The 15,263-nt window shown below is 36.3% G+C and overlaps 1 protein-coding gene across 15 annotated transcripts in view; it reads left to right on the forward strand.

Moving 5' to 3' along the window:
• The window catches only part of CNTNAP4 (contactin associated protein family member 4), a 283,357-nt gene that overhangs the window by 231,353 nt on the left and 36,741 nt on the right, over positions 1 to 15,263 (forward strand). For all 15 annotated transcript variants that reach the window (NR_136216.2, NR_136210.2, NR_136213.2 and 12 more), the window contains 2 exons: positions 12,387 to 12,557; positions 13,286 to 13,504. Coding sequence is in view for 12 of the 15 variants with exons in the window: in NM_001322189.2 (NP_001309118.1) it covers positions 12,387 to 12,557; positions 13,286 to 13,504 (390 nt within the window). In the remaining 3 variants the exon portion in view is untranslated. The remainder of the gene's footprint in view (positions 1 to 12,386; positions 12,558 to 13,285; positions 13,505 to 15,263) is intronic.

A 15,263-nucleotide genomic window follows, 5' to 3' on the forward strand; every position in this document is an offset into this window, starting at 1 on the left:
TTTTTTTTTTTTTTTTTGAGATGGAGTCTCACTGTGTCGCCCAGGCTGGAGTGCAGTGGCACGATCTCGGCTCACTGCAAGCTCCGCCTCCTGGGTTCACGCCATTCTCCTGCCTCAGCCTCCCGAGTAGCTGGGACTACAGGCAACCACCACCACGCCTGGCTAATTTTTCTAATTTTAGTAGAGACGTGGTTTCACCATGTTAGCCAGGATGGTCTCGATCTCCTGACCTTGTGATCCACCCGCCTTGGCCTCCCAAAGTGCTGGGATTACAGGCGTGAGCCACCGTGCCTGGCCAAAATCATAACTTTTTAAAGCTATATAGAAATACCAAAAAAGCAAGTAAAAAAGACACCAAGAATCACATAACTCAGAAATAATGATTAATATCAATTGAATATCATTCCAAATGTTGGTAGATATCTCTAGTGCAGGGCTTCCCAGTCTCACCACTTTTGACATGTGGGCTGGATAATTCCTCATGGTGGTTGAGGACCGTCCTGTGCATTGTTGGAGCTAAGCAGTATCCCTGGTTCCTACCCAAGAGATGCCAGTAGCATCCTTCCTCCAAATGTGACGACCAAAAATGTCTCCAAACATTGCCAAATGTCCCCTGGGTAAAGAATTGCCCTAGGTGGAGAATCACCACTTTAGACAAAATAATTTTAAAAAGAGGTTGAGAAATGAATTTATAAAACTTTATTCATTAAAATTGAGAAAGAAAACACCAAATTTAAGCCAAGATGGCTCATGAAATTTATATATCTAACGAAGTATATTCAACGTAAGTGATCCCGCTAAACTTACAAAAAAAGATTATGCGCGTTTTAAAAGATTGTAGAGTCACTACATTTTATATTAAATGTATTTTTAAATTATAAGCAGCATTTATCTACTGTGAGAAATGGAAAAGCTAGCACTCATTTCTTCTTTCCCCTTCTTTATCTCCCCCTTCCCAGTTTTTGCTAGTTATGCTATTATTTGTATATTGTTACTTTTAAAGGCTAACCACTAGTTCTATTCTCCAATGCTTTTTATTTTGATTAATTTCTTTTTGTCAGTTAGTTGATATTTTACCTTTTTTTTTGTCTTTAGAAAGATTCTTGAGGGTTGCATTTTTTTGATTTTGTATGTGCTTGAGAATATTTGTTGCCTTAGGATTCTAAAACTCTGATGCTTTAACTTTATATTGTCTATTGGGAACAGCTTAATTGACATATAATTCACAGCCTATAATTCACCCTTTTAAAAGTGTACAGTTCAATCAATTTTAGTATATTTAATCATTTTAATGTACTATACAGATTTGAGCAACCATCACCATAATCATTTTGAGGACATTTTTATCACCCCCAAAGTAGACCTGCTCCCATTTTCCAGACACTGTCCATTTCACGCACTCCCCATCCCAGCCCTAAGCAACCAGTAACCTGCTTTTTTTTTTCTACAGACTTGCATATTCTGAATATTTCATATAGATAAAAATACAAGATATGTGATCTCTTGTGACTGACTACTTTTACTTAGCATCATATTGTCAAGGAGGTTCATCAGTGTTGTAGAATACATCAACGCTTCATTCTTTTTTATGACCAAATAATACTCCATTCTGTGGCTATACCACATTTTGTTTAATCACTCATCAGTTCATGGACATTTGGGCTGGATCCACTTTTTGGATATTATGATAAGGCTTCTGTGGACATCCATGTATGCTTTTTTTTTTGTGGACAAAGGCTTTATTTCTCTTCGGTATGTACCTAGGAGTAGAATTTCCCTACATTTAACCTCTTTAGGAACTGGCGTAATTTTTATGTGGCATGCTGTGTAACCTTCAGTAGTTTGCATATATGATCCCATACTTGTCTGTGCTGAGGAATGCAGTTGTCTCGTCTTCTACTGCTTTTCTAAATGTCTTTTTAGTTGACTGTATTTCATTATGAATATAGGTTTTGTTTTTGAAAAATTTTCTCAACAGGGCTCTTGTATGCTTTATTTTCAGAATTCTTTCAGACTTGAAAGTGTCTGCCTATTGCCTTAACACTTCAGAAGTAAACTAGACTGGATAAATTTTCTTTCTCTCAGGAATCTATGGACAGATTTCCTTTATTTTATGCCATTGAGTACTGTGAAGGACTCTGAGGCCATACTGGTTTTTTTCACCTTGTATGTGACTTGCTTTTTCTGTCTGAATACTCGAAGGAACAATTATCCTTAAAGGTCACTAATTTAACAAGAATGTACCTGAATGTTGTTCATTTGGTATTACTTTTTCTGGAAATAGAAGTGATGTGATAAAAGGTATATACACATTTTATAAGTTGTTAAAATTTTTGCAAATGTGGTCTGAATTTCTGCTCTCAGTCTCTCTATCTGAGCAAGGCAGTATTTTTAACTCTTTGGCGTTTGAATTTTTCAACCCATTTTATCACATGTATTTCTTTTCAGGTAATTCATTACATTGAAATTTTATGTTTAATCAAAGCACCCTGAAGCCTTCATAGTTAGAAAAGATTGCTGTAAGTTTCTCGTTCCAAAAAATTCTTGAGTCACTGGAGTTAGTTTCTTCATTTTGTCTGCATCGACTAGTACAGCTGTCTGAGAAATCACAGCTGCCCAGAGTGCATTAAATAATCAAAGGTGCATGTAGGCAATAAATAACTTTGCAGAAGTGAGACTCTTCAACTGGAAAAAGATATTGACTAGTGATTTGGTTAATTTCTCTTTCATTTGACAGAGTTCTCTTCCATTTGGCAGACTACATATAAACCGTTAAAAAAAGTGAGGATCAATTCCATTTCAACACATAATAAAATAATGTAACTTTGTTAGCTCCACTATGCTTGATAATTCTCTATTATAACATTTTTATTTTAACTTTTATATTTTACTTTATCTTATTGGGTTTATCTTTTTCAATTTCACTTTTGTATGCCCTCTTTCTCTTCCTCTTTTTCTTCTTCCTCCTCTTCTCTTGTCTCTGTTTTTCCACTTTTCTTCCCTCTTTCCACTTGTGGGAAAGAGCAAAAGAGCAATGAACAAAATAGATAAAAATATCGGTATTCTTGGAGCTTATATTTTCTTGGAGAGAGAGAGAGAGAGAGAGAGACAATAATCAATTGAAATATGTGGTACAGTAGAAGCTGGTAAGAGCTATGAGGAAAATAAAGTTGAGGCAGGAGTGGGGTAATTTTAAATAGGATGGTCATTTAAAGCTCAGGAAGAAGGTGGCATTTGAATAAAGATTTGAAGAAAACAGGAATGCAAGGCACATGTCTACCTTTGGAAGAGTACTCTACACAGAGGGAAAGGCCAGATAAACCACACAGAAATGGGGTGTAGATGGTATACTCATGGAACAGCCATATGGTCCAAGTGTTTGGAGCAGAGTGGGCAAGAAAGAGAGTGGTAGAAGTCAGAGAGAAACCTGGTGGTCAGATCAGGAAAGATTTTGAAAATCCATTTTCAATCTGAATGAAATTGGAGAACATTAGAGACTTTTGAGAAGACGAGTGATATGATCTAACTCAGGTTTTAGTGAGATTAAATAGGGAAAGCTCAAAGCAAGGAAACCATTTAGGGGACCATATCACCAACCCAGCTGAGAAATTATGGTAGCTTGAGCCATGGGTGCAATGATGAGAGTTGTGGTGTGGGTAGAGTTGAAAGGAAAACCAGTAAAATTTCCTGATGAATTGTTGTAGTTTGCAAAAGGAAAAGTCAAAAATAACACCAAGGTGTTTGATCTAATCAATTAGAGGGAAAGAACTGGCATTAATTGAAATGGGGGAGATTGCTGCTGGGGTCAGAGTTGTAGAGAAATATAAAGAGCCCAGTTTTAGGACATATTAAGGTTGAGATGTCATTAAACATTCAGGAAGAGATGTGGAGTTGTCAGTTTTCAGCATGTTTAAAGCCACAAGATGGAACAGCAGGAGTTATTTTGGATGAAGAAATAACAACAGGGCTTTGGGGCAATTAAGTATGGATAAATTGACGAGGTGAAGAGGAAGCAAGAAAGAAGACTGAGAATATATCACCTATGAGAAAAGAAGAGTGTGGGTATCCTGGACTCCAAGTGAAGAACGTGTTTCAAGGAGGAGAGAGCAATCAACTGTGTTAAATGTTGTTAGCTTAAGTAAGATAAAACTGAGAACTGATAATGGCTTTAGCAACATGGATGTTATAGCGACCTTGGTGATGGTTTGTTTTGTCAAGTGTTTGGGGATAAAAGCCTCAGATAGATTCAAGGAATAGTGGGAGGAAAAAATGTGGGAAAATGTAATGGTAAATGGGGGAGAAAGTATGATCACGAGAGTGGGGTTTCTGAGATGAGAGAATTAATAGCATGTCTGTGTTAGTAAGAGAGATCCAGTAAATAAATCCCTGCATTGTGGACGGTTAATTCATTCTGACAGGAGAAAATGGAGAACACAGGTGATGTTGCAGGAAGGTGAACAGGTGTGGTGGTGGGTGCTTAGAGGAGGTCACTTCTGTCTTCTGCTCTTTTCTTAGAGATTACTAGAAAAGTTAAAGAATGAGAAATGAGATGTATTATTGGGGAGAGGAAGTGTGAAGTAATCCTCTAAGAGCATGGGACAGTGAAGGCATGAAGGAAATATAGTGTGATCGCAGAGGAGCATTGAGTGTGCACACTTGGCATCATATTACAGCACGTGTACTTACCTGTAGTGTTCTTTAAAACCCGATGTTTATACACAGTCCCACATAAGGATTTGTAACTAAGTTCTGTATGCAGGTATCAGGCAATAAGTATATTATGAATAATTTACTAGTTTTTATTTTCAATTATTTTAGTCTAATACTTTAATTAATATTTAAATGTATTTTCTATACATGGAAAAATATTCAACATGCCAGATTACAAATGGGCTGTAACAGACCAGTGTATAGATGTGCCTACTTAAAAACAGTAATGTGTATGCTGTAAAGACTATAAGTGTGCAAATGCAGGAAGTTATTAAGAACCCTTCTACTTACTGTTAATTGCCGAGTTAAAATAATTTTTTAAAAGACAGTAATCTGAATATCAAGTGACTTTTGACTTTAACCGTGTAAATAAAGGAATCGCACTTTTGTTAGTAAATGGCCAATAAAAAGCTCAAAATTCTGATTGGGCACTTAATTATTTTGTGTTGCTGAAATCAGAATCACTCTATCTCATGTTTTTTGAATAAATGAATTTGGTCCTCTTCTCTGATAAATAACTGGACTCAAATTTTATTGCATGATCATGTGTGTTCATGGAGGACATCAATCTTGGATTGACCAGATTTACCTTGAATTTATAATATGTTCTCCTTTTATATTAAATGATCGTCATTTGCTAATTCAGAATAGGTTACTTCAAATAGAATAAGGATGTTACGCTTGGGAGGCTCTCTCGTCTGATGCCCAACTCCACACCTCTTTGTTGTCACTCTGACCTTCGTAGGAATGACTGAGGGATGATGCAGTGGCAAACTTAGATAAGTGTTACTTATCTCATTTACTATTTTATATATTCTCTTACATCCAGACTAAAAATAATTGGATGTTGCTCCAAAATTCTGTTCTTCCAGTTTCTTCTAAAATAAAATTATATGTGTGTATGTCTTTGAATAATTAAATACACAAGTCTATTTCTTTGCTATTAATATCAAAACAGTTTTGTGCAAAACTAGTATAAGACTAATGAAAAGAAATATCTTCTTCAGTGATAGTTTGTAAGATCTTTTGATTATAAAAACAAGTTCTGCTCTGCCTTCATAAAAGGAATTTTCACTTTCCATTTGCCACATCTATCTTACTGTATGTGCATGTGTGGGGGTGGTTAGGGGGTGTTTATGGAAACATCTATGAACAGCTTTGTTCTCTTTTATATTGCTCTGCAAACCACAAGCTATAATTATCTCCAGCCAGATTTTATTTTCTTCATTTTTATTTTGCTTATATTGATTCCTATTGAGGTTAATAAATAGTTGAAAACAATAATAGATGTGCTAAAAAGAGGAACCAGTGAATTATGAAACCAATACATAGGTTATTGTGTTCTGATAATATAACATATAATTTAATCTTAGAATTTTATTTCTGTTAAAATCTATATTTTTCAGCTTATTTAAAAATAATTCATGTGTTTAGAAGATGCACTGATTACTAAAATATTCTTCACATCAGCATTTCAACATTTAAAGCATTTTTACTTTTAAGAAAAGGCTTGTTGGAATTTTATATGCATATAAAATTTCCTGTAGGGCTAGGAAATCTAAAAATCTAAACATTTTTTAGACTTGACATCGAAAGCACAATCCGTAAAAGGCTAAATTGATAAATGAGACTTTATCAAAATGAAATTTTACTTTGTGAAAGCTTGCATGAAGAGGAAGAAAAGTCAGGCTACAGACTGGTCAAAAAACAGTTGCAAACCACCTATCTGAGAAAGGACTAGTATATAGAATATATGAAGAATCCTCAAAAGTTGACAGTTAAAAACACAATTAAAATATGGGTGTTACGTACTAAATTGTTTTCCCAAAATTTATGTTGAAGCCCTAACCCCAATGTGACTATATTTGAAGATAGGGCCTTTAAGGAGATCATTAAGGTAAATGAGGTGGTAAGGGTGGTGCCCTAATTCAATAGGACCAGTGTCCTTATAAGAAAGAGACACCAGAGACCCCACTCTCTGTGCTGACTCAGAGGAAAGACCATGTAAGGTCACAGGATGAAGGCAGTCATCTGCAAGCCAGGAAGAGAGGTCTCACAAGAAACCAATCCTACCAGCACCTTGATCTTTGACTTTTAGCCTCCAGCACTGTGAGAAATAAATGTGTTTTTTAAGCCACCTGACCTGTGAGATTTTGTTATGGCAGCCTGGGCAGACTAACACAATGGGCAAAAGACGTGGAAGGAGGTTCAACCAAAGAAGGTATACAGATGGCAAGAAAGCACATGAAATGATACCCAGCATCATCAACTGCTAGGCAAATGCATATTACATCCTCAATGAGGCACCACTTTACACCTCTCAAAAGGACTAAGATTTAAAAAAAAAATAGTGCCAACACAAAATACTGGTCAGTATATTGAGAAATTGGATCACTCATACACTGCTGGTAGGAATGTCAAATAACAAAACCACACTAGAAAACCGTTTAGTAGTTTCTTTTTGTTAATTTTCTATTTTACTTTAAGTTCTGGGATACATGTGCAGAATGTGCAGATTTGTCACATAGGTGTGTATGTGCCACAGGCGTTGGCTGCACCTATCAACCCGTCATCTAGGTTTTAAGCCCCGCATCCATTAGGTATTTGTCTTAATGCTGTCCCTCCCCTTGCCCCCCACCCCCCAACAGGCCCCATTGTGTGATGTTCCCCTCTCTGTGTCCATGTATTCTCATTATTTAACTCCCACTTACAAGTGATAACATGTGGTGTTTGGTTTTCTGTTTCTGTGTTAGTGTGCTGAGACTAATGGTTTCCAGATTCATCCACGTCCCTGCAAAGGACATTAACTCATTCTTTTTCAAGGCTGCATAGTATTCTGTGGTGTAGATGCGCCACATTTTCTTCACCCAGTCTATCATTGATGGGCATTTGGGTGGGTTCCAAGTCTTTGCCATTGTAAATAGTGCTGCAATAAACATACATGTGCAAATGATTTATAATTCTTTGGGTGTATGCCCAGTAATGGCATTGCTGGGTCAAATGGTATTTCTGGTTCTAGATCCTTGAGGAATCACCACACTGTCTTCCACAATGGTTTGCAACTCTCATACAATCCAGTGATTGTACTCTTGGGCATTTTCCCCAGGGAACTGGCAACTTACGTTCACAAAATATTTGTACACAGATGTTGACAAAAGCTTTATTGGTAATAGCTGAAAGCTACGTAGGTGTCCTTCTGCAGGTAGATGGTTAAATAAATTTTAATATATCCATACCATGGAATACTACTCAGCAGTAGAAAGAGATGAACTATTGATACAGAAAACAATATGAGTAAATCTTCAAAGAGTAATTCTGGGCCAGAAGTGGTGGCTCACGCCTGTAATCCCAGCACTTTGGGAGGCCAAGGTGGGTGGATCACCTGAGGTCAGGAGTTCGAGACCAGCCTGGCCAACATGGTGAAACCCTGTCTCTACTAAAAACACAAAAATTAGCCAGGCATAGTGGTGTGCACCTGTAATCCCAGCTACTCAGGAGGCTGAGGCAGGAGAATCGCTTCAACCCGGGAGGTGGAGGTTGCAGTGGCCAATATTGCACCATTGCTTTCCATCCTGGGTGAGAGCAAGAATCTGTCAAAAACAAAAATGAGTAATTCTGATTTTTTTTAAAAGTAAGCCAGTCTCAAAAGACTGCATATTTTATGCTTTTATTTGAGAGCATTCTTGAAATGACAAAATTATAGAAATGAGGAACTAATTAGTTGTGCCAGGAGGTTAAAGAAGGGGTAAGGAGGGAGGAAAGCGGTTTTAGCTGTGCGCGGGAAGGATGAAGAATACTGTGGCAATAGAAATGTTCTGCCTCTTAGCGTCAGTGTCACTATCCTGGTTTTGACATCCTGCTATTGTTTTGTAAGGTATGATCATGGGGGAAACTAGATAAAGGGTGCATGGAATCTTTCTGTGTTATTTCTTACACCTGCGTAAGAATCTACAAACATTTGGAAATAAACATTTTAATTAAATCCGTATTTCTGGCTTATTTCTTTATGATTATTAAGCATTCAGAAAGACTCATTTGAATAGTGAATGATTCCTTGCTTCGGCATTTCTAAATTTCATTTTATTTTGCTTTTAAGAAAGGTAGTGTTAGCATGTTATATGCATTTTGATTTTAAAAGTACAATGTATTACCTTGAAAAACAATGTGTTTTTTAAATACTGTTCCTTTATAAACAGCTTTATTGATATCAAATTCATATATTGCACAATTCAGTAATATAAAGTGTGCTATTGAATGGCTTTTAGTATATCTACATTGTGTAACAATGACCACACCAATTTTAGAACATGGTCATTACCCTGAGAAGAAACCTTACCCCTCTGAGCCGCTGCTCTCCCTCGATCGCTCCATCTCCCTAACCCTGGGAAACCACAAATCTACTTTGTCTCCATAAGCCTGTTTTTTTTTAAAAAAGGAATTCTATAAATGTTTAGCAAAATAAATTATTTTTAAAAGTACTTATAGTCCTAGCATAGTACTAAGTTAATTTTCCTAAATTGACTTCATTTTTAACTTTCTATATGAAATTCAATACTTAGTACATCTTCCTCTTTTACGTGAATGACTATATGGATTTATTCTTTTATATAATTTCCTTTATTCTGGTAAGATAAAAGGTAGGGTTTCTAGAAAATTATTATTTTATTTATTTATTATTTTTTGATGCAGAGTCTCATTCTGTCATCCAGGCTGGAATGCAGATGCATAATCTGGGCTGACTGCAACCTCAGCCTCCCAGGCTCAAGTGATTCTCCTGCCTCAGCCTCCTAAGTAGTGGGGGTTACAGGCATCTGCCACAATGCCTGGCTAATTTTTGCATTTTTAGTAGAGACAGGGTTTCACCATGTTGTTCAGACTGGTCTCGAACTCCTGACCTCAAGTGATCTGCCCACCTCAGCCCCCAAAAGTGCTGGGATTACAGGCATGAGCCACCGTGCCTGGCCTAAAAAATTATTCTAAAATCTCTAGTACCCTATATTGAATTGAATTGACAATGATGTAGTTTAGAGAATTTTATTTTTACTTTTTTATGATTGTTATTTAAATTTTTTTCTAGATACATAATACTTATGCATATTTATGGGGTACGTGTGATATTTTGTTACATGCATAGAATGTGCATGCATAGAATTACATGCATAGAATGTGTAATGATCCAGTCAGGGGACTTAGGATATCCATCACCTTGAGCATTTATCATTTCTGGGAGTTGGGAACATTTGAGTCCTTTCTCCTAGCTATTTTGAAATACAAACGACAATGTTCTTAACTGTAGTCACCCCAGTCTGCTATTGAACATGAAGCTTATTCCTTCTATCTAACTGGAATTTTGTATTCATTGCCCAATCTCTCTTCCTCTTTTCCCCCTCCGCCATTTCCTGCCTCTGGTTACTATCATTCTCCTCTCCCCCTCCATGAGATTAGGGAATTTTAAACCACCTAATCCATAGAATGCTGTCTTCAAAAGCCTGCAGCTCCTGCTGCTGCCTGCCTGCTGAGCTCTGTTTCCTCCCTCTCTTTGCCCTTCCTTTCTCTGAGGTGGCCCAGATTCTGGTGGGTGTCTCTTAGCACAGGGGGTAAAGGGCTGGGATACCACATGCCATTAACATTATTTGATCATGGAAATATTGGCCTTTGCTTTCTTTATAATTGTTTTGAATTAGCAGCAATTTCTTAACCCAATAAAACTTCCTTACCTCATTTTCTACCTTTTGTGAACGTATAAAATAAGGTCTCCTAACTAAATGAAATAGACATTATTATGTATATGAGAGTGCTGAATATGCCTAAAGTAATAAATTGGTTTCATTGCTTTAAAGACATTCATGTACAGATAGCAGCAATTCAAAGAATTGTTCATCTGGTTCAAGCACTTCCTTGAAGCCTTCTATATGATGCTTTATTGAGTTAGTTATGATATAATATGAAAAAAATAAATGTTATGTCATAATATTACCTAATTTAAACCTTTAAGTAATTATGAATGTTCCTCTTTCTAATCAGACAAAATAAGATTTAATAACATTCCATAATGTGAAGCTTATTTTTATGTTAATGTATAACATTTAAACAAAAAGGCATCTAATTCCTTCTGAAAACAGATCAGCTAAGAACTTCTAAGAATGCAAATGTGTTGTTATCCCTGACTTGATATTTTACATTTTCTTGCATTTATTTTGTCCTAGAGATCCAAAGGTCTAGTACAGGAATAGCTGTAAAAGGGACAAAAGGAATAGGCTTGATGTGACTCTGATAATATATGGTTTCATTTGACTCTGGGAGGAAAAACTTCAAAGTAGATTATTAGTTGAATAAATTCAGCTCTAAAATTGTCCACACACAAGCTGAGAATTGACTTTTGAATCAGATCCACCAGAAAAACAAACAAAAATAGAAGCATTATTCGGTCTAGAATTTATACAAAGTAAATTAAAATTTAAGAAACACGTATAAGCAAAGTCAAGTTTGTGATTTTTAACTCTGTATCTTGGTATCTGTTCTCTGCTAACATAACAAACTGTTGTTTTGAAATTGCTGTTTTCCAACATCAGAGGATCAACACATCTTTCTTCCAGGAAGGTAATTTAGATAGAATTTTATCCATGTAGGTAATGTGTGTAGAGGCAGTTGCTTAAAACTAAAGATGTATATTCGTATTTGATGTGCAGAGAACTTGCTAGTGGCAGCAGACAATACAGAGTTTGTTTCTCTGATTTTACTCCTCATCAACCTCCTGTATCCAGTCGGATTTCACTCCTGTCAGCTCATGCTGTTGCATTTATATTTGATTTTCCATAGTTTTTGCTATATATGGTTCATAATATTTTTTCGAAAGAAAAGTTGTAGATATGAAAAAAGGAGTGAGAAATTAAAGATAAGTGGTATTTGGGCAGCAATTATAATTAACTTTATAGTCTACATTTTTTTCAGATCTCTTAATTTATATCCCAACCTTTTCAACATTTTCTGCCCATTTTGAACATTTGTAAACATTTTGAGAACACTTTTAATTTGCTGTCATCTACTTCATTCTTATTGGCAAAGTAAGAGATAATTTTGAATAAAAAGAGCATTTTCATGAGAATGTCAGCTTGGACAGAGTAAGCTGCATGTTGGTTTGTAATTAGACAAGACTATTTAGAATGCCGGTCTCAGTTTAGAAAATCACAAGGCCCATTAAAGAAAACAGTTTATGTAACTCTGTGAAGTGTGTGTGTTAGAAGTGTTAGAACAAAAAATACTGTGAGCTTCTCTTGGGTTTTTGTTTAAAGCAGGTAAGTGTTTTAATTTTGAAGTTATAAAAGATTGCCTATTTATCAATGTTTGGCAGATCGTATAATATCACTTTGGTGGAGGATATACTATTGAGGCTGAGGATATTTGTTCCGTATAAAATATAACATTTAGACCATTTCTGTAATGATCATTCTTACTCTCTATTGGAAAAAATCCAGGATTTCAATTCCTGTAAAATCTCTTATGATATACTCATATCTTGTATACTACATAGTTGACAGAAAAAAAGAGCAGATTTGTATAAATAACATTTTAAATAGCAAAAGTGCTAAAAATAGAACATGTAATTGTCATTCATTTTATTTCATGAATTTGTTTTCTTTCTGAATTTTTTTTTCTTTTTTTTTTTCACAAAACAGGATCATTTTGGAATTCAGCTTCCTTTGATACCGAGGCTTCATATCTTCATTTTCCTACCTTCCACGGAGAACTTAGCGCGGATGTATCTTTCTTTTTTAAGACAACAGCTTCATCTGGGGTATTTTTAGAGAACTTGGGGATTGCTGATTTTATACGGATAGAGCTTCGCTGTAAGTCTCCTTTTCCAGAGAAGTGTATGAGATTCTATCATTTAGTAGTAAATCTTTTAACTAATTTTTAAACTACTCATGTGTCTACTTTATCATCTGATTCTTTTCATTGCGCCCCTTTGAAAAACTCAATAATATTAACTTATCCTGTTTGTAAGAAAATAATTTGATACTTAACATGTGATAATTTGGGGAAATAACTGGTAGTTTCTTGTACCAATTTAAATGCAGTTTTAATTTCAGTTAATTAAAACTAAAACACAATTTTTTAGTTAATTACAAATTACTTAATCAACCACTCATTTTGATATACTTCTAAGCTGCTCTTATCTTAATATCAAATGTGTATAGCATGCCTTAAAAATTATGTAAACTTTGAGTTACTGTAACAGTTATTTTTACGTACAATGCCAGTTGCTATTTAGTTTCCTTGCCTTGGATAAATAGCTTTACTTTTTATCGATAGGAAAAATTAGCTCTGAGGAGGACTATCTTAGAATACCATTTTTTTTTCAAAAACATGAATGTATTTAACTGTCTCATTTCACATCAGAAGACCTAGCTCTGTGTCAGTGTCATGAGTTTCAAACAATAGCATTGAAACCATCTATGTTCGTTATCTTTCTGTTCAGCGATTGTTACGCTGTAGTGTGTTCCTAAGTATATTGGAGACTCGGCACTTCGCCATAGGAACTCACTAGAACAATCTTTATGTGTAATATTTCCAGCTCCGACAGTAGTGACTTTTTCATTTGATGTGGGGAATGGGCCTTTTGAAATCTCAGTGCAGTCACCCACCCACTTCAACGACAACCAGTGGCACCATGTGAGGGTTGAAAGGAACATGAAGGAGGCCTCCCTTCAAGTGGATCAGCTGACACCAAAGACACAGCCCGCCCCCGCTGATGGGCATGTCCTGTTACAGCTCAACAGTCAGCTCTTCGTGGGTAAGTTCTCTTTTTAAGCAATCATTTTATTGTATGATATGTGTTCAGAAATGGCCCAAGATAAAATAATACCAACTATAGAAACAAGGATAATAACAACAAGCAATAATAACAAATCACCATGGATTCACAAACTGTGTCCAAATGCTTCATTTCTTCTGCATAACCAGCCTGTGAAATGGGTGTTATCCGTATTTTACAGATGAGATAGCTGAGCTTCCAGGGTTGACTTGCCTACAGAAATTCATCTCATAAATGAGATTCAGATTTGTGTTTAACTAATTCCTATTTGCCTGCCTGCCTGCCTGCCTGCCGCCCTCCTTTCTTTCTCTCTCTCTCTTTCTTTTCTTTATTTCCTTCCTTCCTTCCTTCCTTCCTTCTTTCTTTCTTTTCTCTCTTTCTCTCTTTCCTTCTTTCTCTCTTTCTCTCCTTTCTTTTCTTTTCTTTTCTTTTCTTTTCTTTTCTTTTCTTTTCTTTTCTTTTCTTTTCTTTTCTTTTCTTTTCTTTTCTTTTCTTTTCTTTCTTGACAGAGTCTCGCTCTGTCACCCAGGCTGGAGTGCAATAGTGCGATCTCGGCTCACTGCAACCTCCGCCCCCAGGGTTCTAGCAATTCTCCTACCTCAGCCTCCTGAGTAGCTGGGATTACAGGTACCTACCACTACGCCTGGCTAATTTGTTTGTATTTTTAGTAGAAATGGGGTTTTGCCATGTTGGCCAGGCTGGTCTTGAACTCCTGACCTCAGGTGATCCACCTGCCTCAGCCTCCCAGAGTACTAGGAAGACAGGTGTGAGCCACTGCACCCAGCCTTACCTGCTTTCTTAATATTACAGGTTACATGATTGGTTTCAGCTTATTTATTTATTATCTTATTGTTTTATTATGATACCAGGAATGTTTATCTCTGTTCTCAGAATTGTTGAGGAAGCCTTCTTTGATGAGGAAATCATCCAGCCGATGCCAAACATTGAACACTCCCCCGGCCCCCCCGCCCCACCAACCATCACATCAAAAACAGGCCAATAGCAAAAAGAAAAGAAAACAAAACAGATACCCAGTGTGTATAGAATTCATGTTTGACAGTTTCACCAGTTCCTCTGCTATTTTCCCTCATTTTGCCCATTTTTTTTTCTGATATTTTCTGGTCACCTTCTTAATATTTATATCAGAATGTTGTTCCTTTATTTCCTAAATCCATTCATGTGGCATTTATAGGTTTGATAGTGGAATCCTTCTGGATGTGTTTGTTTTACTTTGAATCTTTGCTAATTCGTTTGTAGAAGTTATGGACCATGAATTATCTCTTACTTGATCACTTCTCATATAGTTTAACATAAATGAAGACATAAAACACTATAAAGCAGAATAAATGATAAGTTATTAGAAATTGTACTTCAAGGCCAGGCATGATGTAGTCCTAGCACTTTTGGAGACCAAGGTAGGAAGATTGCTTGGGGCCAGGAGTTTGAGACCAGCCTGGGAAACACAGCAAGATCCATCTCTACAAAAAGTAAAAAATTAAAAAAATTAGGCAGGCATGGTGGCACTCGCCTGTAATCCCAGCGTTCAAGAAGCTGAGGTGGGAGGATGGTTGAACCCAGTAATTGGAGGCTGTGGTGAACTATGATCACGCTACTGCACTCCATCCTGGGTGACAGAGGGAGCCCCTGTCTCAACAACAACAACAAAGAAATTATTTTTCAAGAATTCTCAAGAGTTACACTTTTGAAGAAATTTGATCAGATCCCCATTACACCTTTT

Source organism: Homo sapiens, chromosome 16 (genome assembly GCF_000001405.40).
Source record: "Homo sapiens chromosome 16, GRCh38.p14 Primary Assembly".
In the NCBI taxonomy this organism is placed as follows: Eukaryota; Metazoa; Chordata; class Mammalia; order Primates; family Hominidae; genus Homo; species Homo sapiens.